Source organism: Homo sapiens, chromosome 9 (genome assembly GCF_000001405.40).
Source record: "Homo sapiens chromosome 9, GRCh38.p14 Primary Assembly".
In the NCBI taxonomy this organism is placed as follows: domain Eukaryota; kingdom Metazoa; phylum Chordata; class Mammalia; order Primates; family Hominidae; genus Homo; species Homo sapiens.
In genome coordinates this window covers 13946266-13971412 of record NC_000009.12, presented here as the reverse complement: position 1 = coordinate 13971412, position 25147 = coordinate 13946266, and the positions used below count along the sequence as shown (strand labels likewise).

At 38.8% G+C, this 25147-nt stretch overlaps 1 long non-coding RNA gene across 2 annotated transcripts in view; it reads left to right on the top strand.

The window, feature by feature from the left end:
- The window catches only part of LOC101929507 (uncharacterized), a 203870-nt gene that overhangs the window by 48680 nt on the left and 130043 nt on the right, over positions 1-25147 (top strand). The gene's annotated exons all lie outside the window — the stretch shown is intronic.

Sequence of the window (25147 nt, the reverse complement as noted above, 5' to 3'; positions counted from 1 at the left end):
CTCATGAGTAAAGCATCCTTGATAGGCTCATGATTTTTAGCAATAACATGGTTTCTGTAAATGTCTAAGCATTTGCACATATTTGTTGTAAAATATAGAGAGGTCAAGAGTTAGTTCTCTCACTGTGCCTGAGAAAAATTGCATAATCATAGTATCTTCTTCCCTTGGATGGTGCTATTGTTTGTAAAGAACTTTCTCAGAAATAAGTATTCATTTCCATCATACATCTGTGAGATAGATAGTTTGAGTGACACAGTTCTTTTTTTTTCAGGTGGGGAAACTAAGATTTAGAGAGTTTAAATGACACATCTACAATTGCAAGGTGACAAGGGGCCCATGCTCCATTCACTATGATATCCTGCCTCTGGTCTTCAAATAGGTTGAGACAATTTTTTCAGTTAATTCTCCTTGTAGGGTGATGGAAGTTTGCAGGAACTAGCCAACAACAAATATATTGTATCTCAGGGAATACTAAATTTTATCTGACCCTGTTATGAAACAGGTTCACCATGTACGGGTTACTCTAGCACGTACATGAGTCTGGTGAGACAGAACTCTCATACAAGCTAAGCAAAGCAACTTTATTACTCACGGATTAAACAGCAAGGAACAACAGAAGCCTCAGATTCACCACACGCTCATTTCCCAAGGCTGAGAAAAGCTGCCCAGGGCAGATGGGGTCTCATCTGTATGTGATCCACATCATGCTGCAGCTGAGGTATCTCCAAAGCATTCTGTGTTGGGTTTTTATACTCTGGGGGGACACTAGGATCACTGGGCCAAAGTGTTGTAGGACATCATGTTCTAGGAGGGGTGGGAACAAAGCTGTTCCAGGCAGTTTCTCCTTAGCTCAGCATGTTGCACTCTTAGCACGTTCTACAGTGATTCTCAAGGTTATATGTGAGACATGGGGAGAGCTGGGTCAGCCAAAGCCATCAGGGTGCCCATCACCATGATTAACATGTGATGGGACTCAATATATATGGCCACAGTTTCCCTTCTAATGTGAGCCATATCCTTTCTCTTCCCATTCCACCTTTGTTTCTACCTTACTAGCTAACTTCTGCCTTTCATCAAATAGGCTTGAATTTTCTCATTGAGTGGACAGAGACTGATATGTCCCAATTAAAACAAATACTTCCCGACTAACCACATATCTGGAGTTCGTACGAGTGTGTAAGTGATAGCTGTGGCAGGCAATCTCTAAGATGACTCAGCAGTCCTTGCCTCCTGGTGTTGCCTTGTTTAATGTCTTGTTTAATTGGGAGACTAATATCTCCCAATTAAAATGAATACCTCCTGATGAACCACATGTCTAGGGTTCATAGTAGTGTGTAAGTGAGAGCTATGGGAGGCAGTCTCTAAGATGGCCCACCGGTCCTTGCCTGCTGGTATTGCCTTGTTTAATGCCCTTACCCTGAGTGTATGCTGGGCTTGTTGACCCAATTCTGACAAATAGGATAGGGCAGAAGTGATGGAGTGTCTTTTCCAAGATTATTTCTGTAACAACTGTGGCTTTCATCTTGGGCATGTTCAAACTCTCCTCGCTCAGAACACCGACTCTCATGTCATGAGGACATTCAGGCAGTCTATGGAGAGGTCCACATAGCCAGAAGCTGAGCCCTGGCAATGGGCACATGAGTGATCTTCGAATCAGATTTTTCAGCTGCAGTTAAACCTTGACATGACTGCAGCCCTGGCTGACAGCTTGATTGACAACCTCATGAGAGACCCTGAGCCACAGACACCCAGTTAAGATGTGCCAAATTCTTGGCCCACAGAAACAGTGAGAGTATAAGGGCTTGTTGTTTAAAGCTGCTAAGTTTTAGGGTAATTTGTTATGCAGCAATTGATAGCTAACGTGAAACCAAACCCCTTATGAGTGCAGGTTTTGATGGGCAAGGACCTCAGGTAGGAAGGGCAACTCCATAAGGGAAGGAGCCCTTAAAAGGATGGAGGTGCACATGGGACATCATTTGCCTATTGCTCACTTTCATCAAATACTTTTCATCCCGATTTTTCAGGTTATACACATATAAAAGTTATGGTATTTTGAAATGCACAGGCAAGGATTGCTGAAGTAACCTACTGCAGCTCTTCGCACTTTACAAAACTGAAAACCAAGACCCTGAGAGGATAACTTAACGTGCTCCATGTCACAAAATAACCCAGTTTTAGGGCTTGAAGACTAGGTTTTCCAACACCTATTCCAGTGTTCTCTCAGTTGTACCATGCTTCTTCTCTGTTCGCAGTTACAAAAAGAAAAGAAAGTTTAAAATTAACCATTGCAATTCCACGAAGATTCTTAAAAGTTCACCATGTCTCTCATTTTAATAAATGTCAAAAACTGACTTTCAAAGCCTTTTTAAATAGTTTGTATAGAACACCGTCATTCATTCATTAATTCAGCAACTATGTATTGAACATTTCCTATGCTCCAGGCACTGTGCTAGATGCAAGAGTTACTAGGGTGGTAAAAACATTTGTTGGAGACACCAAAAGAAGCAGCCCATGGATCTTGTCTGTTTTATCAGTGGTGTTTTCTTTTGTCATCATAGATACATGTATGTGTTCCCATAGAGAGAAATCATGTAAAGGCTCAATTATTCAATATTAATATTGATCTGAAACTTTTAAAGCTCCCTTAGAAAGCTGATTGCAGTTTCACACTGAGAGTGGGCAAGGAGGGCTTTTTCTAGTGGCTCCAGAAAGAGCAATGTTCATGTTTCCAGGTACTCCTTCCTGAAGTGGGAGAATGCCCTGGCCTACTTAGACCCTCTTAATTGGAGACAGAGATACTATCTGCATAAGTCCTATGGCTTTACTTGAATTATTAGGAGCTAAGTAAATTCTTAAAAAAAAATGTGAGATACTCTCTGATACATCTTGTGAGCCTTGATGTTCTAGAAGTTAAATAGCATGGGTCTCTGGAGTAAAATATCCTGGAAACAGTGTTGGCGTGATGCATTTTTGCTAAGTGCCACAGGTCAGGGCACCTAATTTGCTCCTTGCAAAAAATGAGGATAGTAATTATACCACATGACTGTGAGAAGTGCTTTGTAAGCTAATAAATAGCCTTCAACTTCAATAAGTTCTCTTATTTCCCAGTTATAAGATCTCTGAAAGCTAAGAAGAGGAGGTGATCCATTTTTAATCTTTTATAGTCTCTAGGACTATGCCTAAGACTTAGTGGGTACTCACTAATTGTTTGTTGAAAAGCTACTGATTAATAATAGTGATAATTTTGGAGCACTGCCACGTGTCAGGTGATGTCTTAAACATTTCACTTGTATTAGCTTTTGATTCCTTATAGTGACTCCATAAGTCAAATACTATTATTATCACTATAATATGGACAGGAAAACTGAGGCAGAGAGAAATTGAGTAATTCCCATAGTAACATAGGTGGAGCTGGAATTGAAACTCATATAGTCTGGCTAACTGCCAAGATTTACTTCCCCTCCATAAGAACTGTGTATACATTTACTTCTTCTTATTAGAAGAAATATAGGCAGAAAGAAGAGTTAGTTCCCTTCGGTTGAATTAATAGATATTTCTTTTAAATGAGGTTTTATCCAATATCCAAAAGAAAGCAAAACCAAACAAAAACCAAACCAAACAAAAACAATCCCAACAAGTCAATCCAGACAAAATCATATTGAGACAACGTCAGCTGAGGCTTGTGGTTGAATGGACCGTTGACAACAATCATTTAGTATGTTGAGATGAAGCTGAGGACCTTTCATGTGGGAAAATATCTGAGAGGCGAGAGGAAGCAGACTGTGAGTTGTTAGCTGTGCTTGAAAATCATACAGATGGAGGGTCTTGGGTGAGTCTTTGGATTGTAGCCTGCTTGTCTTCAGTCACAGTGAGTATAAAATGACAGAAGAATCAATTGAAAGACTGGGAAAGACCTGTCACACAGGCAAATGACAGAACGATTGTGAACAATGTAGAAGACAGGGAAAAGGGAGGTGAAGAAGCAGCTAACATTTATTGAATGCAAGTTATGCTGAATATCTATAGTCTTATTTAGTATTCATTGCAATGGATGAGGTAATGCTAAACACATCTTGCAGATAAGAAAGCTCAGGATCAAAGAGGTTAAGTAATGCTACCATGAAGCATTCTCAGCTGGGAGGAAAAACCAGCCTCCTCCACTTACTCCCAAGCCTGTGAACTTTCCATTCTGTGGCTAGTAACCTCTGTTCTACCTCTCACTAAACTGCAGACTTGTAAGAAGCTACTGCTGAGCCAGAAGATTACCACAAAATGGCCAAGAAAACATTGCCATTATGTTGGGGAAAGAGGGAGGAACAAAAGGGCTAATAGAAAAGGAAGAAAAAAACCAACCAATGGAAATCACGAAAGACTGTGAGAGGAAGGACTTTAGGCTTCTGACAAAGTGTAGAAAAAAGAAAATGGTACTCCTGAGGCATGGATTTTCCAAAAGAAGGGTTTCTGATTCTACTAATCCTATTAAAAAGCAGAGGAAAGCTCTAGGAAACCTCAGATACCCTTTTCTCAAAGATGGCTACTTTCTTTTTGCCTTTTGTCATTCCTTCTCAACTCCCTTTCTTTTGCTCTGGGTCACTGGTTTTGGATCTTCCTGTTTTGCCTGAGCCATAGCTCAGTCTTTGACTTTTTGGCCCCACTCTTTAAAAAGTGGTTTTGCCAAGAGCAAATTGCCCAAGACGTTTAGGTCAGTGGTCACCAAAGCTGATCCACAGGTTGGATGCAGCCCATGGTGAGGTTGTTGGTGCCCTGTGGTAGAATGAGAAGAACTGGAACAACTGAGTGAGCTTTTCATAACACTAAATGCATTCCATACTGACTGTCTTTTTTCCTGAGATTATGTTCTTCTTGCTTGTTTGATGTTTCAGCATTTGTTGTTTTATGAAATGATGGTGAAAGTAGACGATTCCCCTTAAATACTTTTTAAAAAATTAAAATGTCCTGTGAAATCAATTTGAGAGACAGACATGCCTAGTCCATTGGAAAGAGTCTGATCATGGACGCTGATTAAAACTCAGAAAAATATTTCAGCAGGGAGCTCTTGACATTTTTAATGAAAGAGTTCACATGTTGTTTTAAATATTAAGTTAATTATATATGATGCCCCTATTGCTTCATCTGGTATATTGTTGGCATTTGAGCAACACATACACTTCTTCTCCCTTGAATCTCTCTTCTTTGATATGTGGGCATGTTTGTGCATAACGTGAGTTTTGACCTTCTTGGCCCTGGCTCACTAAATGCCAATAGTAATCCCCAGCTTCAGTTTTGATGACCATAATGTCCCCACACTTTTACCAACCTTCCCAGTGGAGTAGGTTTTGGGAATTAATAGAAGAGGCTGGTTTTGTATCTCATCTCAGAGTGCTTTGTGCTAGCATTACTTAACCTCTTTGGGTCTCAATTTTCTTATCTGAATGGGCATTACTCAAGGCCCAAGTGGGGTTCTGCAGAGCATCGCATAATCACCTATTATTATGCCCCATTTCTGCTATAGAGAAACAAGCACATGCAGAAGCAGATAATATTGTCCCATTTTGGTCATCAAATATTTGCTACAGTAATATACCTTAACCTGCTAATACCCGTGACACCCTTAAAATAAGAAGGAGCATGAATTGGGCAGTGTCATTTTTCTCATAAAATTTAGAGACATTAATCCAAGTTTTCTCACCTTTTAATACTATAATGGTCTTTCTTTTAGGATTTGCTTCTGCTTCAAATCCTACCTTGATGCAGTCAACCATTTTCTCTCTTGTGCCCTACAATGCCATATATGTACTGTAATGTGCCAAAATATGTAAAACACCTGGTATAGTGTCTGGCACATGGAGGTTGCTCAACACGTGTTATTGGGTGAGAAGGTGAATGGCCACTGCACAATATCAAATATATTCTACTGGGAAATGTCTAAAGAAATCACATGGATGCAAGAGAGGAGTTTAGACTCATTCATTACTATGTGGTCATAAATACCCACTCCTATCTCCCACACGAGGAAGGTGGATTTACTTCTTCCCTACATAGTTCTCTGATTGAACGTTGTGCCTTGTTTGTTTGCTTACCTTTTTTTTTCTTTATATACTCAACCTGATTTTATTTTAAATCCATTTTGCCTGTGCCTGAGATTTTGTTGGAGAAAGAAAGCATATATGAATTTCCTTTTGCTTGAACCCCACAAGAACTAATTCTTACCATTCCTGAGATTAAATCATTTTCACCTGTTTTCTTTTCTGAGTTGGGCGGGGGTGTGAGCATTGGGGGGGGGGGTATAATTTTTGGGGTCCTAGAACTTTCTCCTTCCTCTGCCCCTAATGTGTGTGTGTGTGCACGTGTGCACACACACACAAACACATTCACAATGAGTTTGGTTCAAAGGTCTTAGACCATGTAGGAAAGCAAAAAATGGACATGAAATGGCACAGAGTTTGGGCACTGTCAAGAGTCCAGCTGCACAGCAGCTCAGCATCTGGGTCAGTAGGAAAGAAATTAATGTTCATTGTGCTATGTCTTGTCTGTTAAGCACATCTCATTCTTTCTCCAGAGAACTCTGGAGTGTTATGATGGCAGAGTAGAGGAGAGGGAAACTGAAGACTAGCCTTTGTTGACCACAACACAATTAGCCCTTGTTGTCAAGCATCTCTCTAGATGCTTTTATATCACTTCACAACTCTCTAAGGCAATTATATGATTCTTGTTTTACAGACATGGAAACTGATGCTCAGAGAGGTTAAGTCGCTCACTCCAGATCCCCCATTGAGAAGCAGAGAAGGATGGATTTTGAACTTCATTTACTGTTTGTGTGTTTTTACTGTGTATTTTGTGTATTTCTTTCTTTCTTTCTTTCTTTTTCTTGAGACAGAGTTCTGCTCTTGTCACCTGGGCTGGAGTGCAGTGGCACGATCTCGGCCCACTGCAACCTCCGCCTCCCTGGTTCAAGGGATTCTCCTGCCTCAGCCTCCCGAGTAGCTGGGATTACAGGTGCCCGCCACCATGCCCAGCTAACTTTTGTATTTTTAGTAGAGATGGGTTTTCACCATGTCGGCCAGGCTGGTCTCTATCTCCTGACCTCAGGTGATCCACCCACCTCGGCCTCCCCAAGTGCTAGGATTACAGGCATGAGCCACTGCGCCCAGCCACTTTTCCAGGGATAGTTCCAGTTTATGCCTGTTGTCCTGGTGTAGTTATTAATAGCAACTCTCACCATTTGTCTTGGTATGCACAACAAATTATAAGATCATCTTACCTCTTTCTCTTCTGTGTTCTTCCCCTCTTGTCCAAGTGGGAGGTGGGAAGGCGCTGGGTGATTATGGTATCCATTAATGGCCTCTCTGTGTTGCAGGTATCTTTTTTTTTTTTTTTTTTTTCTGAGACGGAGTCTCGCTCTGTCGCCCAGGCTGCAGTGTAATGGCGCGATATCGGCTCACCGCAACCTCAGCCTCCTGGGTTCAAGCAATTCTCCTGCCTCAGCCTCCCGAGTAGCATGCGCCACCACGCCTGGCTAATTTTGTATTTTTAGTAGAGATAGGGTTTCCCCATGTTGGTCAGGATGGTCTTGAATTCCCGACCTCAGGTGGTCCGCCCGCCTCGGCCTCCCAAAGTGTTAGGATTACAGGCGTGAGCCACTGCACCCGGCTGCGTTGCAGATATCTTAAGTGTTCCTTCTGTTGTGGGTTGCCTATGTGGTTCTTCAAGAGTCTCTGTAGAAGCTTCTCACTCCACAGTTTCCTGACTGGGGAACTCTGATTCCAGCTTATTTTCCTATATACCATAATAGCTCTTGCCCTTCAGCCATTCACTGTCTTACAGCTTCCTGCAAGGGGTTTCTTTCGCACTAAAATGTAGCACTGCACAACCCTTTTGCAATGAAGAAGGGAGGAACTAACTGCATAGAGTAATGCTGCACTCCCACTTCTGAGTGGGAAGTCCCACACTTCTCACTTCTCAGTCGTCTTTTCATAGGAACCAGAGTGGGAGGAGAGAGAGGTGGCTGTTGGCAGGGCTGGCTCTGCTCTGGTGCCTCTCAATAACTCTTAGGGAATTTCCTTGAAATTAGAATGTGATAAATTTACTGTCAGGTGCTCAGATTGGGTCTTAGGTAAATGTCAGTGCAACAAGAAAAGTCCTACTTGACATTGCATTACATATCTATAACAAACACCAACTTGCAATATGAGGCAGCACCATCCTTACTGACAGCATCAGCTGTATTGTTGCAGTGAAGTTCAGTAGGAACCAGCACTCTATCAGTGTTCAGTTTTGGTTTTGACTCATCTTTATAAATTTGTTTTCCTCCACTGAAAATTTTAGTTACAGCTTGGAAGTGGAGTGGACTCCTTCCTTCCTAATTACCTTATCAACTAAAAGACGACTTTCTTTTCTTGACAAACCACCTCAACCAATCAACATTATTTCTCAAGAAAATGGAAAAAGTATAGTAGATCTAAGAACTTCTCCTTATTCCTAAATACCAGCAGTCAGCATGACCAGTTTTCTTTTTCCCATTGTTGCTTTAAAACTGATTAAAAATTGCAGAATGGGCTAGAGCCATGCGTTACCTGTGTTTTCATTTCCGATAGCTAATACAATGTCTGACACCTTGTAGGTATTTGAAAATAATTTGTTCAATGGTTACATTTCTCTTTGTACCATTCACAGTGCCTAGCATGATGCTGTGTGCATATTAAGTGCTTAAACATTTTTATTATTGATGAAATAATGTATAGTCCCTTTGCTTCATTTTTCAGGTTGCTTTAAGAAAGAAAAGGTTCATTTAGAGAATGTGTCATTTAGTTTGAGCCACATTTCCTGAAACTTTGCTTTCTTTGCAATCACACCAGAACAAGTTATCATGGGAAGAACCTGAATAGGGCTCAGAAAATGATCTTCACACCTCAGTCCCTTTTAGAGACCCCTTGGATGCCAATGTTTTTGTCTAGGCAGCCATTGGAACATTTATTTTTATTAACTTCTCTGTGCATGTTCAGTGCCATTTTCCTTCCCCCCTCAGCTTTGCAGCATTCCCAGGTGGGGGACAGCCTGGTCAGGAGTCAGGTTCAGGGCTTCAGCTTGACTCATAAATGTGGAAATAACAAAATGTGTTCCCTGAAGCTTTGCAGCATTGTCAGGAAATGGGCTGCTTGCATGCTGTACTTCCACAGATCTGGAAACTCTGCTGAGTTTGGGTTGACTCCAGAAAAAAGTTTAAAAGTGTTCAGGGAAGAGAGGAATGAAAGCGGGCCATTAGTTGGAGACACCAGCGCTCCGGTGGAGTCTGTGTCTTGGCTGGCCTGTTGGCAATGGGCGACTCTGGAGTGTGTGCTGTGTACTGTGGCGGCGAAGTTTGCTTTTCTAAGGATTGGGGCTTTGCAGGAACTTTCCTTCCCACATTTTTCATATCTCAGAAATCTGAGTGGCACCTCTGGGGAGAAGTGGGGTATAGAGTTATTGTTTCCGGCTGGAAGAAACCAAGGCATAGAGCAGTCTAAACTCAGAACTCAAGCATGAGTATTGGATCTTAACCATCTTAGTACCCAGCCTACCCTAGACTGTCAATAAATATGTGGAGAATCAGTGAATGTGTAAAATTGACTTCTATTTGTGTGTCATCAAAGGCAGGAACTGAGCTCAACATCAGGTCTTTTTGTATGCTGTGAGCTACACAGATGATCTCAGGGGGCATAAATGATGGGATTCAGGGCAACTTTTCCTTGTTTGTGTTGTTGACACAACACCTTTCTCATTATTCTCAACTCAGGGAAGAATTTCATCTTTGTGATTTTTCTCTCTTTGCTCCTGGACCACCAGAGCTGTGAGATCCAGAGGACAGGGAGTATGAGAGCAGCAGCTGGGAGGCCAGGAGGCCTCTAATCCTTGCCCTTATTTGGGCCTTAAGAAGACAATATAAAGAAGCTGACTGGTCACCAAAGGAAACACAGATTGTGGGTAGCTGGTGGTGTTTGTGTCATAGCTTCTTAGTAACCTCCCCAGAAGGCTAGAAGGGAATTTGATCACCAATCAAGTAAACGAAGAAGTAATTAGAGCTTTAGGGTTACTTTAAATGTATCGGATTATTTTTTCCATGATGCAATTTCGGGAGGAGTTTTTGTGATTCTTCTCCCCACTCCCCAAGAGGCTTCCATGGCAAGAGTCTCTTGACCTATAATGCTCGTGTTCATATCCTGGCTCTGCCACACACATGCTTTGTGACCTTGGGCAAGTTACTTAACTTCTCTGAGCCTCAGCTTCCTCAACTGGAAAATGGGGATACACTTAAATTACAGGTGTATCATGAAGCCTCAATGAATTAAATACATGTAAAAGTGTTAAAATGGTGTCTATGTGCTAACTATGATTATTGTCATTTTGCTTACACACCATCCATCAGACAATTTGATACAGAGGCCAAAAAATATATTTTTTAAAATTGGCAGTTTTTTAATAGAGTACTGTTTGAAGGCTAGAAAATGAACTACTTGAACTCTCAAGGTTTTCTTACAAATCACAGGCTCCCGTGACAATTCTGATTCTTATGTTTTTTACTTTCACAACTGGTTATTGAAGGATTCTCAGCTCTAATTCCACAAGGTTTTTTTTTTTTTTTTTTTTTTTTTTTAAAGAACATAGTGTATTAGTTCTCCATATGAATTTTAAGGGCATTTGAGTATGTTGGTTAATGTTTTTGAAATCTCCAAATGAAAGGCTTTAAATGTCTTTTCAAGTGTACACCTCAGTGCGCCTCTTCTGTTTTGAGCACCAGTTATGAAATTGAAGCTGGGATTAAACTGTAAAATGTCAGTGAATGGTTTGGAGTCTTCTGGAGTAAATTTTTGCACTGTAAGCACTTTGTTACTTGTCTCTAAATTATTTTAAAAAGTGTATATGGGAGATACTGGTGCAGCTCACCTACGAAAAGCAATTTTCCAGGAACACTGCTATCCCAATGCACAACAGGAAATTTATTGAAAACCTAGCAGGTTGGAGAAAAACAGTAGCTGGCTCAACGACGAGTGTCAAGAGAAGATAGGGAAAAAATGAAGTGGGGACAAAGTTACCCAAAGAGTATTAAACTTAGCTCTATGTAAGGACAACTTTCTGTAAAGTCATTCCTGTGAGTGTCTATAACCCTCTAGTGGGAAGTTCACGTACACGTGCTCAAGCACGCACATGCGTGCACACACACACACGCACATCTGGCACTTGAATTGCAGATAACCTAACCCGACACTAACCTTGGCTTGGCTACAGAAGTAATATTTTTACCAGGATGAACTGTGTTGAACAATTTCTTCAACGCATTAGTCATGCTTTAACTTTAGACATGCAAGTTTTTCCTTTTAACCCATTTTAATGCACATGGCTTTCTAATTTGATCAAAGATAGGAGAATATTGTCATTTCTGAATGCCAGAGTTACTTATTCTCTCATATAATATAAAAATCAATCAAGGATCATCTATATCAAAGAACTATATTTAGTAAATAGGTGAACCTATTTTTATGGGTTTCATTGAATCACTAGAATTGGGAACTCACAGAATTATCTATAGATAAAAAGAAAACAGCGGTGAAATCAATATATTGCTGTGAAAAGTTAATAACTTATTACTCCACCAAATGTATGCTTTACTGAATAAAGCGGAGATTAAAGTACATTTTTATATTGCTATTTTAGCCTTACTTTTATTAGGATTCCTTTGGAAGGCCCGTAAGTCATTTTGTATTTGCGCATAGGATGGCCAATAAATAATGAAATGATGATGAGTTTTGTGAGGGTCTACACTGCCAGGCTATACTTAGCGATTTACTGACAATGTTAGTTAGGGCAGAATTCTCAAAGTGTGTGCTTAGGATGTATCAGTGTCACCTGGGAAATTGTTAGAAACCAAAATTCTCAGGTCTCATTCCAGAGCTACTGAGTTAGAAATTCTGGAGATGGAACGTAATAATCTGCATTTTCATGAGCCCTCCAGGTGACTCTGACACATGCTCAAGCTTGAGAACGAGTGAGTTAGTAGTAGGTAATAACTACTCTAACTGTTGTCTTAGGGCAAGGTTAGGCTACTATAACAAAGAGACTTAACAAGTATATTGTCTTAAATTTAAGTCTTGCCACAGTAAGGAAGAATCATCACACCCATTTTACAGCTGAGAGTACTGAAGCTTAAAGAGATGACATTAACACAGTCCATTTTTTCTGCATTAGTCTATGGGACCAACAGTTGTAACCCTTCGGAGCAGACAAGTTTACTTAAGACTGGTTTATGAAGAGTTTTAGATCAGGAGGTAACGAAGATCCAGATCTAGACACACACTGAGCCTTAAAGCCAGAGAACCAGTCTCCTCCGTTAATTTGCCATATGACCTCAGCAAATTACTCAGAATCTTAGTCTTATTTGAAAAAGGAGGGTAATAGTGTATTTCACCATTTTTCTGGTGACAAAAAAGTAAGGAGATGGTTTCTAGGGAATTTGGAGTTCCTCACATACTGCTATGTCATTCACTTGTACTTTACTAAGTACATAACAACCTGAAGAGTTATGCAAAGAGAAAATTTTCTCAATGAGGCATACTTTGAATATACCAGGGCAATCTTGACATAAAATACTACAACCCTTAATTGGAGTAAAAATAACATTTTTGTGATACAAACTATGTCCTCTGATACAGTTTGTTTTGCCAAGAAACAATAAGAGAACTCTCTGGAAAGCATATATCATAGGACAATTCTTTCAATGGGAAAAGAAAGAAATGGAGATTATGTATTTCAGATGCACCACGACAAGGTTATTATTATTTTTGTCAGAGAATGTCAATAGGAGAGGTGTTTCATAGCTATAATTGTATAGCTTCAAAACCCTAACATCACTGACTATATCCAACATTTGAATACACTGAGTTTTTTCTAAAAATAACAACCATCAGTTTCCAAACATAGCACTATTATTAATACAGACCTCTCTTATATATATATGAGTCATATATGTTTCTCTATATATTCCTTATATTCCTGTATATATATACATATATTTCTTTTATTCATATACATTCCTGTCTCACTCACTATATATAATATATATACGTATATATTATATATACTTATATATATATAAGTATATATAAGTATATATATATATAAAAGTAAGGTTTAGGGTTAGGGTTAGGGTTATATATATATATAATTATATATACTTATATAATACTTATGTACTACTATATAATACTTATATAATACTTATATATACTTATATAAATATACTTATATAAATATATAAATAAGTATATATAATATATACTTATATATTATATATACGTGTATATATATATAATATATATATAATATATAAGTATATATTATATATACGTGTATATATAATATATAAGTATATATTATATATAAGTATATATTATATATATGTGTGTATATATTATATATATTAAAAATATATATATTTTTGAGATGGAGTCTTGCCCAAGCTGGAGTATAGTGGTACAATCATGGCTCACTGCAGCCTTGAACTGCTGGGATTAAATGATCCTTCCACCCCAGCCTCCCAAGTAGCTGGGACTACAGGCACGTGCCAGCATGCTCAGATAATTTTAAAAAATTCTTTGTAGAAACGAAGTCTCATTATGTTGGCCCAGGCTGGGCATAACTCCTGAGCTTAAGTGATCCTTTCACCTCGGCCTCCCAAAGATCTAGGATTATAAGCATCAGCCACGGCTCCTGGCCTCTTACATATTTTTAATAAACATGTTTACTTTTTGTTACACACAGAAACAACACTCTTCAAATGAGATGTTCAGCTATATGTGAAGTGATTTTTTTTCTACCTCAATGTTAGTTCCCCAAGCAGACCAATTTTAAACAATTATGCTACTTTTAAAATTCATTCGATTAACATAAATTAGATGAAAACTTGTGTTGCAGGGAGAAAAATGCCTAAATATGTTTATTATTAGAGTCTGTGTGTTAAAGTCCCACACACCTAAATTTTAAGGCTAAGTTATATATAGGGATACCTATTTAAATATGTAAAAGCACTGAAAGTGAAAATGGAGGCTCAGATTTCCTGAGGTGGGGGAAGCAGTTTAGCATTTAGTGCATCTAAAGAGAAGGTGCTTTCCAAAAACACAGAGAAGGAGAACAATGTAGCACAGGAATTACAAACTCAAACATCTGCTAGGAGGGTAAATGTGTGCTGTGGACTGGGTGAAAGAAAGGTAATGGAGTATGGGGGGACTGCGGCAAAGCTGAGAGAGCCTAAAGTCCCAACCGAGGGAATTTATGTCTCAGCTCCAGCTGATAATTGCCCTGTGGAATTCCAATCCAGTCTTGCCAGATTTTCTTTTTTTTTTTTTCAAGAGAAGTTAGAAATGTGAATTTCTATGTGAAATCTCCTAATTTTCAAATGTTAATGCATAGGCTTTTATAACAATGTGATTTCTAACATGCAAACCAAATAAAGCTCATCTGTGGGCTAGGTTTGGCTCATGTGCTGCCAATCAGCACCCTCTGAGAAATGGAGGGGTGTGTGTGTGTGTGTGTAGGCAAGATAGGGCAGTAATAGTTATGGGGTTAGATTTTCTGGTCAATTAAATATATTTGTACCTAGCTTTGTGTAGCTGGTAGTAAGTTTCGAAGCCCACTTTAATTTTAGGAAGGGTGGGCATATCTAAGTTTTAACTCAATAGTCTCATGACGGTATATGCTCAGGGAGTCATGAAAAAAGATGAATTAGGCCATTATTCATTATTTTGTCTGATTAATTAGAGCCATATCAGTTGCCAGCAGATAATCACAAATGAACACCCAAAAGCTGAATGGAAGTTTAATACATTTAAATTAGTTTCAAGTTGTGTTGGTAACTTAAGCAAGTGAATGAAGATGCAACCACAGCTGCATACTTACAATTGAATTGCTTGGTAGACATCTGTAGGGCATGATTTCACCATAACAAGTGAAAGTAGGGACAAAATGCCCTTTTAATTTTCCCTCTGCTGGGGAGACCTTCATAATTCAGTCGTGGCAGTGTTCTGCTACTTGTGGTTGATGTGGTTCCTTTCGCTCATAAAAATAAAAACCATCTCACATCATCTGTCTCCAGTTGTCTCGTAAATGTAAATCAAAGAGGGGAAAAAGCTATAAAACAAATACAAACACCCACTAGATAGGCTAAGAAATAATGGACTGGGATTATTCCTTAAGGTACTTAAGTACAGTGCTTTTCATAACAGACATACCTCTCTTTAGTAAATAGATGGATGCCTGAAAAGTTACTTGTAAATTCGTTTTGCAAAACTAAATCATATTTTAAATGCATTAGATGAGTTTGCTATTTAAAGGAATGCTAGTCTGAATCTTTTTGAAAAGCAAAAGTAAAACTTTTTTTAAGAAATGAAATCACAAATCTAACATATCTTTGCTCCAAGTTCATGGAACCATTGAGTAAATGTATTTTAACTGTGGTACTCATCTTGTTTATCTCTCTAGCGGATTACACCCTATACACCTGAAGACCTCAAAAGCCGTTGCAAGTAATGTGTTTGGATTGTTGCTTTTAGATTTAACTCAGATTTACATATCCAAAATGAACTTATGAGCAGAGGAGGGGCTACATTTGAATCAAGATTCTTGGGGTTGCACATGTAATGCAGGGTTACGAGGGACTTACAGTCCTCTAAGAGACAAGTATCTTTTCTTCCCATGTTAAGTTCATGGTCAAGCCCTCTATAACAAAAAACAGATTCACAAAAGAAAAATATACAAATTTATTTAATATAAATTTTATGTGATGTGGGAGCCATAAGAAAATGAGACCCCACAGAAATGGGAAAGCCAGTATGTTTTTATGCTAAGTTTGATGAAGTGGAGAGCTGTGGAAAAGTATGCTTGGATAAAAGGGGTATGATCTAACGATAATAAACTGGGGTTTCACCGGGGACTTAGCAAGGCCTGTTTGTTCAGATTCTACTCTGTGTTCCCATGTCTTCAGAGATAAGGACATTCCTCTTTTCTGGGTGGGCAGCTCTTACATGAGGGTCTTACGACCTACTTCTGGTGAAGGTCAGAGAATTCTTTCTAAGTTTTATGGTGAGAGGGCAGGAGAAGGTCAGAGAGACCTTCCTGCTTCTGTGGTTTTCTCCAATGCCAAGGTGCCATACTTTGGGGTGGCATGCCCCGAACCCCATCAGTCCCTTGCATTCTAATAAAATGGTCTTTAATCTTTATTTCACACTATGTAGAAAATAGAAGATCAGAACAAGAGATCATGCTTACCTATACATCTGGGCCCCTGCTCTCCCATTTGCTATACACATTCTGTACCAAAATAAACATTTATGAAACAGCTCATTGCTCAATTTCTACAAAAATTCATATGCAAACAAAGCAGACATCGGCGCAGAGGATAGGCGGGTGGGATGTAGACAAATTGAATGTTTTCATGGCAGCAACAAAGAATTTCAAACTGAACATTACATGTCACCATCCTTAAAATGGTCTAACAACTCCACCACCAGGGAATTTTCATTGTCCGTACTCTGAAAAGTCATTCAGCCTCAAACCATTTATTAGTTATTTTTGTTATTTCCTCTGCTTGCTTCTTCTCTTTATTCCCTCTCTTTCAGAAGGAAAAAAAAATCCTGTTTATGCAGACGAGTTAAGTGTTCTCCTTTGTTGCTTTAACACCTGCTGTGTCCTCAGATCTAACCTTCTAGTCCAAGCAGTTCATCAAGATATTTTTCAAAACAAAGAAAATTTCCTCTCTGGAAATTTTCAAATAATAAAACTTTCACCTCCCTGTCACAAGAAGCAACGGCATCCTACTCCAATTAACTGAAGTAGAATTAATAAAACCTTAGATATTGTTACTAGATCAGAGAGGAATCTCTCAGAATTCATGAATAGGAAGAGTGGTTGGCCCTGAAGGACTGGAACAAGCAACTGGAATGCAGTCCAGAGCCTAGTCAGCGTCCTCTTGGTCTTTTCTTGCGTTTCTGTGGCCGCATGTCTCTTGTATTGCCTCCTGTATTTGCACTTCATCATTTCTCTCAGTACACCGGCTATTCCGGCATCTTTACATGCACGGCTGCCTTACAGCTCCCAAATTTATATAAGCCAGTTCCAGTCTCATTTCAGATGCTCAAGCATCCTCAGTTCCCTTCCAGAGAACCTGATTCATACCCTTGGATTTGATGCCCATCAGGCATGAGAGTCAGAGTTCACATAGTAAAAACAGAGGCTGTTGTGAGCCTACCATTGAAGGTGGAGAAGGACAGTTTTAAGAGATGAGGCTGAGCTGGGTTCCTTCTCAAAATAGGAGTCAATCGCAGATTAAAATCCAAAACAATTGCACTGTGATCCACAGATCCTCAGGCACAGTCTGGCATTACTACAAGGAGTCTAGTAAAGTTCAGTGGATGACTGCATGATGTACAGTTAAACTGAGAGTAAAAGAAGGCAAGATGGAGGAAAGGTAATCTTGGTTACCAGTAGACAATAAAAAGGATGAGCATCATTAAAAAAACAAATTGAAAATAAGTCCAAGAGATAACATGGTTTAGGGTAAAAACGACCTGTGTTGCAGACATGGTTATTTGAATTTTAACTGTGAGAAACCGAGGTCTTCTTCTGTGTACACAGGGTGCTAGGAGATCACGATTCATGGGAGAATTGTACAGTTTAACGAAACAGTCAGAGTTATGACATTTAAGCTTTTTAAAAATGGGAGAGATTCCTCTTTTTCTGGATAAATAGAAGACCAAAGAAGCGCAGGCTGCTTCAATAACTCTTATGCAGATTCCATCCCTCCAGTCCACTTTCTATTCATTGGCATTCAATCCCTCTTTTCACAAAGGGAGTCACAAATCACAAATCTCAAATTTTGGGGAAAAAATTGGGAACAAATGTTTACAAATCTTTCCTACAGCCCTCCTTTGGTTGAACGTGTTTTTAGTAATGTTTAAAAGTTCCTACCAAAGTGCATTTACTTTTTATGACAAATAGACTGGTGAACACTAAGAAAGTAAAGCAGTGCTCATTTTATTCTGCTGGGGTTCCTGCTTCGCCTATGTGAGCTTGAATGTCCTTTGGGCTCAAGTCACATAAAGACATTATCATCACCTCATTCTTCGAAGCACCTGGCTATGGAACCTGGAGTGTGAACAATTGCTGAATGACAAATGCTGTAAGCACTGGCCTGCCTTGCCTAATTATACAGCTGTCACGGCGCACTGGGCAATTTTTCTTTCCGAAGTCTCCTCCCCTCTGCCCAGTTTCAAACCGCATAGTAAAGAGAAGAATCCACAGACCTCTGTATTAGGGCTTTTAGAGCAACCACAATGCAATCAAAGTATCAGGCTGCAGGAGAGGCAGAAACCATTTCTAGAGTGTGGTTGACCCATATGCTGTACTTGGGTTGCTGTGTGGGTCAGATGAGGGTGCCACTTATCAGGGCCACAGGTGAAAATGCTGATGACTCGGGCTCCATTTCTAGTTTGTTCAGAAGTCTCAATTCCTAGAAGTCTCTATTCCTAGTTTTGTCACCTAGCTCCTATAAGTTGGCAGAAAGGAGATTTGTGAGTTCATAAGGTGCATCACAGAGTTAGGGTGATGGTTTTCACCTATGAAGCTTGAGCCCTGAGTCTGCTAAGATGTTGTTGGGGCCAGTGAAGAGCTAGGTCATTTAATGAGAGTACAAGGAAAGATAAATCAAAGGAAGGATAATAATTTTTAAGGATAAAATTAACCTATGCTGTGAAACTTTATCTTTGAGAACTATTGTAAACATCTTAGGATCTAAGTGCGTACTCAAAGGTCACAGCAATCGCCCCACAACTGGGTGCAGCATAAGAAAGTCATTACAGATGTCTCATGCTATGAGGTTGAAGTTTATCAGAATCTATCAGTCTTGTAAAAAATAACCAGAGGTTAGTAAACAGACTTTACATTTTCTGGCACCTTCTCTATTTCCATTGAATTCTATAATGTATTCATTGTAACCTATATGTAATATGGATTCATGGCTGGCTGTTGGCTCATGTCAGACATTTGGTGGTAGAAAGTTAGACTGGTGATTATACTTGCTTCCTGATGTTGGTTTAAAAGTACTCCACAGATTCTACTTTAAGATCCAGGATAGCATAATCCATGGATTCTATTTTCTTTGTCATAATCATTACTATAATATGCATACAATAGAAGCTTTGTTAATACTTGATAACTAGTGCATGGCAATGTGTTTTGCTAAACTCATGCTGTCGACAGTCATATATCCCCTTATCCAACCGTCCATTTAATATAAACTTACTAGGTTTCTCCCTTGTGCTAGGATTTTTGCTCAAGCCTGGGAGACACTAAGTTGTAAAAAATTATTCTAATATTGAGAATTGGGTTTAACAGAAATTATGTAATATGTATGTAAATAGATAGAATGAAGAGACACTAAGAATAGAAGATTAGATTTCTTGTGAAAGCAATACTTTTTCCATCCCTTTTCTTTCTGCTTTTCTTTATATTGTCTGATTTTATTCTGTAGTTTAATCTCGTGATAGAGAGATCGAAGCCTGTAAATCCCAGAAGTCGCATACTTTTTATAATTTCTATTTTTTCTTTTATTTTGTCCTTAAAAAAACTTTTTATCAAATACATTTAGCTTCCTTAGAATCACTGTTTTTCATTTCATATCCAAGGATTTTTAATGACTCCAATATTGGTTTTCAACTTCTTCTGAAGCTCAATGAAGCCACATTACGAAGCTCTGACCAATGAGAAATAAGTAGAATTGGATGTGGCCCTAGAAGGTGTCCTCTAAAGGAAATGTGAGCACAGTTTCTTGCTCCTTCCTCCATTCTTCTGCCCGGAAAACAGATTTGTTGGATGGAGTCCTGGCAGCCATTTTGGATCATGAGTACAAGCACCATTTCGTAGGGATGGCAGAGCAATGATATAAAAGGTGTCACTACATCGACTCTGGTTCTCTGGTTGCTGAACTCCTTACTTCTTTATGTGAGGGGGGAGTAAACCTTAATCTCATTTAAGTACCCTTGTTTTGAGTTTCTGTAACATGCAACTGCTTAGCCTAATTTTTTTTTTTTTTTTTTTGAGACGGAGTCTTGCTTTGTTGCCCAGGCTGGAGCGCAAAGGCGCGACCTTGGCGAGTGAACCTAATTTTAACTGATACTTGCTGTATGCTGATTTAGGCTGACAATATTTAGCTATTCCTCCGTGGAAAAGATCTAGAAAATTTAAAAATTCATGAAAAAACCTGTTCACTAGCACTGACAGCTGGGAAATAGAGCTATTCAAATGTCAGAAAACCTGAGGAATTCCTACTGGATTCAATGGTGGTCAAAAGCAAGGACCCCCCGGTGGCATGCTATAAGGACGTTTTGTGATTTTGTGACAAGCAAGTGGAAGAAATCTTGGGGCTTATGGACAACTTTAGGACTCAGAGAGACCCATACTGTAGACAAGAGTTTAGGATGACAGAGAAAGCAGAATTTGGATCCTCTTTCCCACTGACTGTGAGCAGAATTGAGGTCAGAGTTCTGGGTGGTTGGAGGAACTGAGCTGAAGCCTCCAGAGGCGCTGTGGCAGTGGCTCTGGACAAGTCATTTCCTGAGGCTGAGATGTCTTAATTGATGCAGCAGGGAGCTGCCTAGAGAAATCTGACCCACAAATCCATGAATGTGGGCAGTAATACCAAAAAGCCAGCTTTTGCAGTGGCAGTAGTTACAGAGAGGCAGCTTCCTAAGAGGGCTCATTTATTGATGAGGCGTGGAGTTGCTCTTGAGGAATGGGCCTAGAGGCTTCAGGGCATTGGAAGCACAGGGCCAACAAAGACAGTAAAGAAACCTTTTCTCGAACAATCACGGAGATCATTTCCACTCCTGGAAGGAAGCTGCCCCACAATTGGTTTAACCCTGAAATAGGAGCTTTCCTAGAAATGAAGAAGAAATCCTTGATGTTAAAACCTCCTACTCCCCACCTTCCAGGATTTCCAGACCCCCATCTCTGTTCCTATGTCCTTCAAGCTACTGGGTCATTGATATTGCCCAAAGCCCATCACTTGAAATCTGGAAGATATCCTCTAACTGCAAGCCGAGAAGACTCTCCCACCCTGTTTCTGAGGGAAATACCAGCCCTGAATAAACTTTTTACTATTTCAGTATGAGAAACTAGGGGGAAAAAAGATCTTGTGAATAATTCTGAATCATAAAGAAATGAGCATATAGTTTGAATAATCTGAAGGAAAATATATTTTGATTGTGTTCCTTTATTATAAATTTAAATTTAAAGTTTTATTTTAATCAAAGTAATATATTTAGTTCTAGTTTTAAAAAGCAACTGAACAACTTATAATGCTTGTCTACTTTTCCTTATCCCCATCCTCATCCTTCTAAGGCAATCACATAACTCTTATTGCTGTCTCCATATTTAACTAACACATTCTACTGCTAATTTTTTAGTTTAGATATTATTTCCTATTATAGGAATTAGGTTCCTTCCCTTGTGTTATGGACTGAATGTTTGCATCCTCCTAAAATTTGTATGTTGCAACCTTAACTCCCAATGTGATGAAGTTAGAAGGTGAAGGCTTTGGGAGATAATTAGGTCGTGAGGGTGGTGCCCTCACGAATGGGAGCAGTGGCCTTATAAGGAGAGACATGAGAGCTCTCTCTGCTCTTTCCCATGTGAGGATGCAAGAACCTGGCTGCCTACAAACCAGGAAGAGGGCCCTCACCAGACACCAAATCTGCTGGCACCTTGATCTTGGACTTCCCAGCCTTCAGAACTATGATAAATAAATGTGTGTTGTTTAAGCCAACCAGTCTATGGTAATTTGTTAAAGTGGCCTGAACTAATTAATACACCCCACCTCCCTCAGTATAATCATATCAATACTTAATCTTATCAGTCGTCAGTATTTATATAATTACGATCATATAAAGAATGCTCACAGTTGAGCTACATTGTATCATAACCTTTCTTGTACAACTTTTTGTTTTGGCTAGAGCTAAGACTTGCCTCCTTTCTGTGGGTTTGCTTAGTTTCTGTGTACTATTGCTAAACTCTCCAAATGAAATGCAAATCTCCTCATTACAACCAAGCGGTGCTGGCGTGTAGCTCCTGGAGCCCTCCATGCCCCACATCTGGACTGAGTTTCCTCTGGGCTTTCTGCACAGTTGTCATCCTGGGGTCTTCTTTTACCACTTTTTTTTTTCTTTCTAGAATTCCCTTAGTCTTTAACTGTGTGGAACCTCCAGTTTCCTGATTTCCACATCTTTCTCATTTGTGATTTACTCCTTTGTTGTAATGGAGTATGTTTCTATGTGGCTTTCTTCAAAAAGGAACATGACAGAACAATTTTTTGATACTTGGACTGCTTGAAACTATCCTTATTCTACTTTGACATTTGGTTTAAAATTTGGCTGGAGTCAGGGTTCTGGCTTGAAAATCATTGCTGACAGAGTGTAGGCCTTGCTCCTTTATCATTTAGCTTCCAATGTTGCTATGTCAAATGCTCTTCTCATTCTTCATCCTTCTTTGGGGATCTGCTATTTCTCCTTGGAGGCATTTGGGCTCTTCTCTTTACCCATAGTATTGTGAAATTTCACAAAGATATTCTTTGTTGTGGGTCTATTCATCACGATGTGCACTTGGGTCTTCATAATCCAGAAAGCCATTTATTTTAGATGTGGCAAATTTTATGTATTATTACTTTGATAATTTCTTAGTTTTCAACTTTTAGATTTTCTTCCTTCTAAAATTCTTATTTAGATGTTAGGTCTCCCGGACGCTTCCTCAGATTTTATTAACTTTTTCCCTCCTCTCCTATTTTTTATCCTTTCTTGTGGGTTTGCTTTACTTTCTGAAGATTTCCTCAGTTATCATCCCTTCTTTATAGCATTTTTATTTAATTGTTCTGTGAAAAGTCTTTTAAAAAATAGCAATGTGTTATTATCTCATGACGCAAAAAATCTTTTCTGGTTACTATGAGACTATTAATACTATATTAAAAAAATTTTTAAACCTTTCTTTGCTCACTGTATTGTCTTTATTTCCTGCAAGCGTGTCTTATTTGTTTATTTTGGCCAGTCTTTCCTGTTAGAGACTTCTCTCAAATGTGTGGTGAGCCTTGGCTGTATGTTCATATTTATAATGAAGATCAGAATTTCTGTGTGCAGGGGCAGGGCCTGTCAGCTGGTGGCCTCTGAGTGTCATGATCTGAGTCTTTGTAAGGAGCCATTTTTCAGAGAGGAAACTTCCAGTCTCTTGCATGGGTAACGTGAGTCTCATAGCTCAATATGCATTCCTAGCCTAGATCCTCAGCCCCATTTTCAGAACGATACCTCAGCTTCACCCTCAACTATGCCCAAGGACCCTGACTCTGGAATTGCACTAGTTTTGTCTCTCCAGGGAGTAAATCTACCTGAGGAGAGTCCTCTAGGGTAAGGTGGGTTTTGGCTGGATATATGAGGTGAACATCCTTGAAAAGATTTTCAACCATTTCTTTTGTTTTTAGTCTTCCCTTGGGACTCTCTCTCTTTCTCCTTTTTTTTTTTTTTTTAAGAAGTACATGTGTTAATGAACTTATGAGTTTCTAGACTTGTGTGACACAAATGATCTTGCTGGCTGACTTTGTCCTCTTCCTCTAGTCTTAGGGTTCAGATTTTTGGATACACATATAGGCACACACAGGCACATACACAACCAGGATCATACTATTCACAGACAGAAGCATATTTTAAAAAATTATAGAAAGAAACAGAAATACAGTTTATACACCATTTTGTGGTCTTATGAATATTAGAAAAACATGGGTTCCATAAAATAAAACCTGTAAGATGAGATGATAATACAATAAACAGATTTGAAATTGGAACTGGTTGCAGAGAGGCAGAAATTTAAAATGAGTTCCAAGGGAAAAAATGTTTTTAAAGTAAACATTTAAGAACAGAGTTTAAAAATGTAATAGGAGTAGAAATAACATCATAGTAAGTCAAATGAAGGGTATTGAATATATGCTTGGTAAAAAATATTTCAGAATGCAGAGGTAAATGACAAAAAAATAAAGACAATCAAAGCTGAGGTAAGTCATTTGGAGGATATATTACTGACATCATGAGAGTGACTGTTACTGAAGGGGATATCAGCATAAACAGAAAGAAAGCAATAGTCAGAAAAATTAAATGACATTTGGCTGGGCTAATGAATAAGGTCTGGTTTTGTAAACTGAATGAGCTCAAAAAATCCCAAAAAATATTAATGAAATTAACAACAAATAGATATATGCTGATGAAAGTCTTAAAGTTCAAGGGGAAAAACCCATCTGACATGCGTCTAAGCAGACAAGACTGGTCATCTGTGAATGAATAAAAAACATCCAGTTTCAGATTTCGATTTTCCCTTTGTAATGAGAAGCTAGAAGACGATGAAGTGATTTCCTCAGAGTTTTAAATGGGAAAAAAAAGACTATCACCAAAGATTTCTATAATATATATAGGTTTTGTTGACATACAAAGGTACCAGAAACACTTTATTGGATATACAATGACTGCCAATACATGAATTACACATATGTTTCTTTTAGAAATATATGCAAAACTTTTCTGACTAAGAAATGAGTATACCCACACACACACACTCAAGAACAGGGAAGTAATGAAATATAGAAAGATGAGGGCTATCACTGTAAAACATAAATCTTAATAATTATAAATTAAGGAAACAATAAAATGTTAGTACTTGAAAATATGCATATTTTAAAGTGACAGTGATTATTTGAAGGCAAGAAACTAGACCTCAAGTTCTGGACTATATCACAAAAACTAGTAGGAAGAAGTAAAAGTTGTAATCTAAAGTTAATAATTAGAGGAAAATAAATTAGAATGCACAGTCGAACAGTTCAACCATAGTGAGAGGTTAATTTCCTATAAATAACTAGATGGAAGAGAGGGAGAAACATAACTTGAATAAAATAGAAAACAAATAAAATAGGAAAGAATTGAAAAAACAGAAAGCATTCAGAATGACCGAAAAACAACTTCAGGGAAATATGAGCTTTAATGAAAAACTATGCTTGGCTCCATACAGGACACCCTTGTAAGTTATCTAGTTCTAGCCGCTA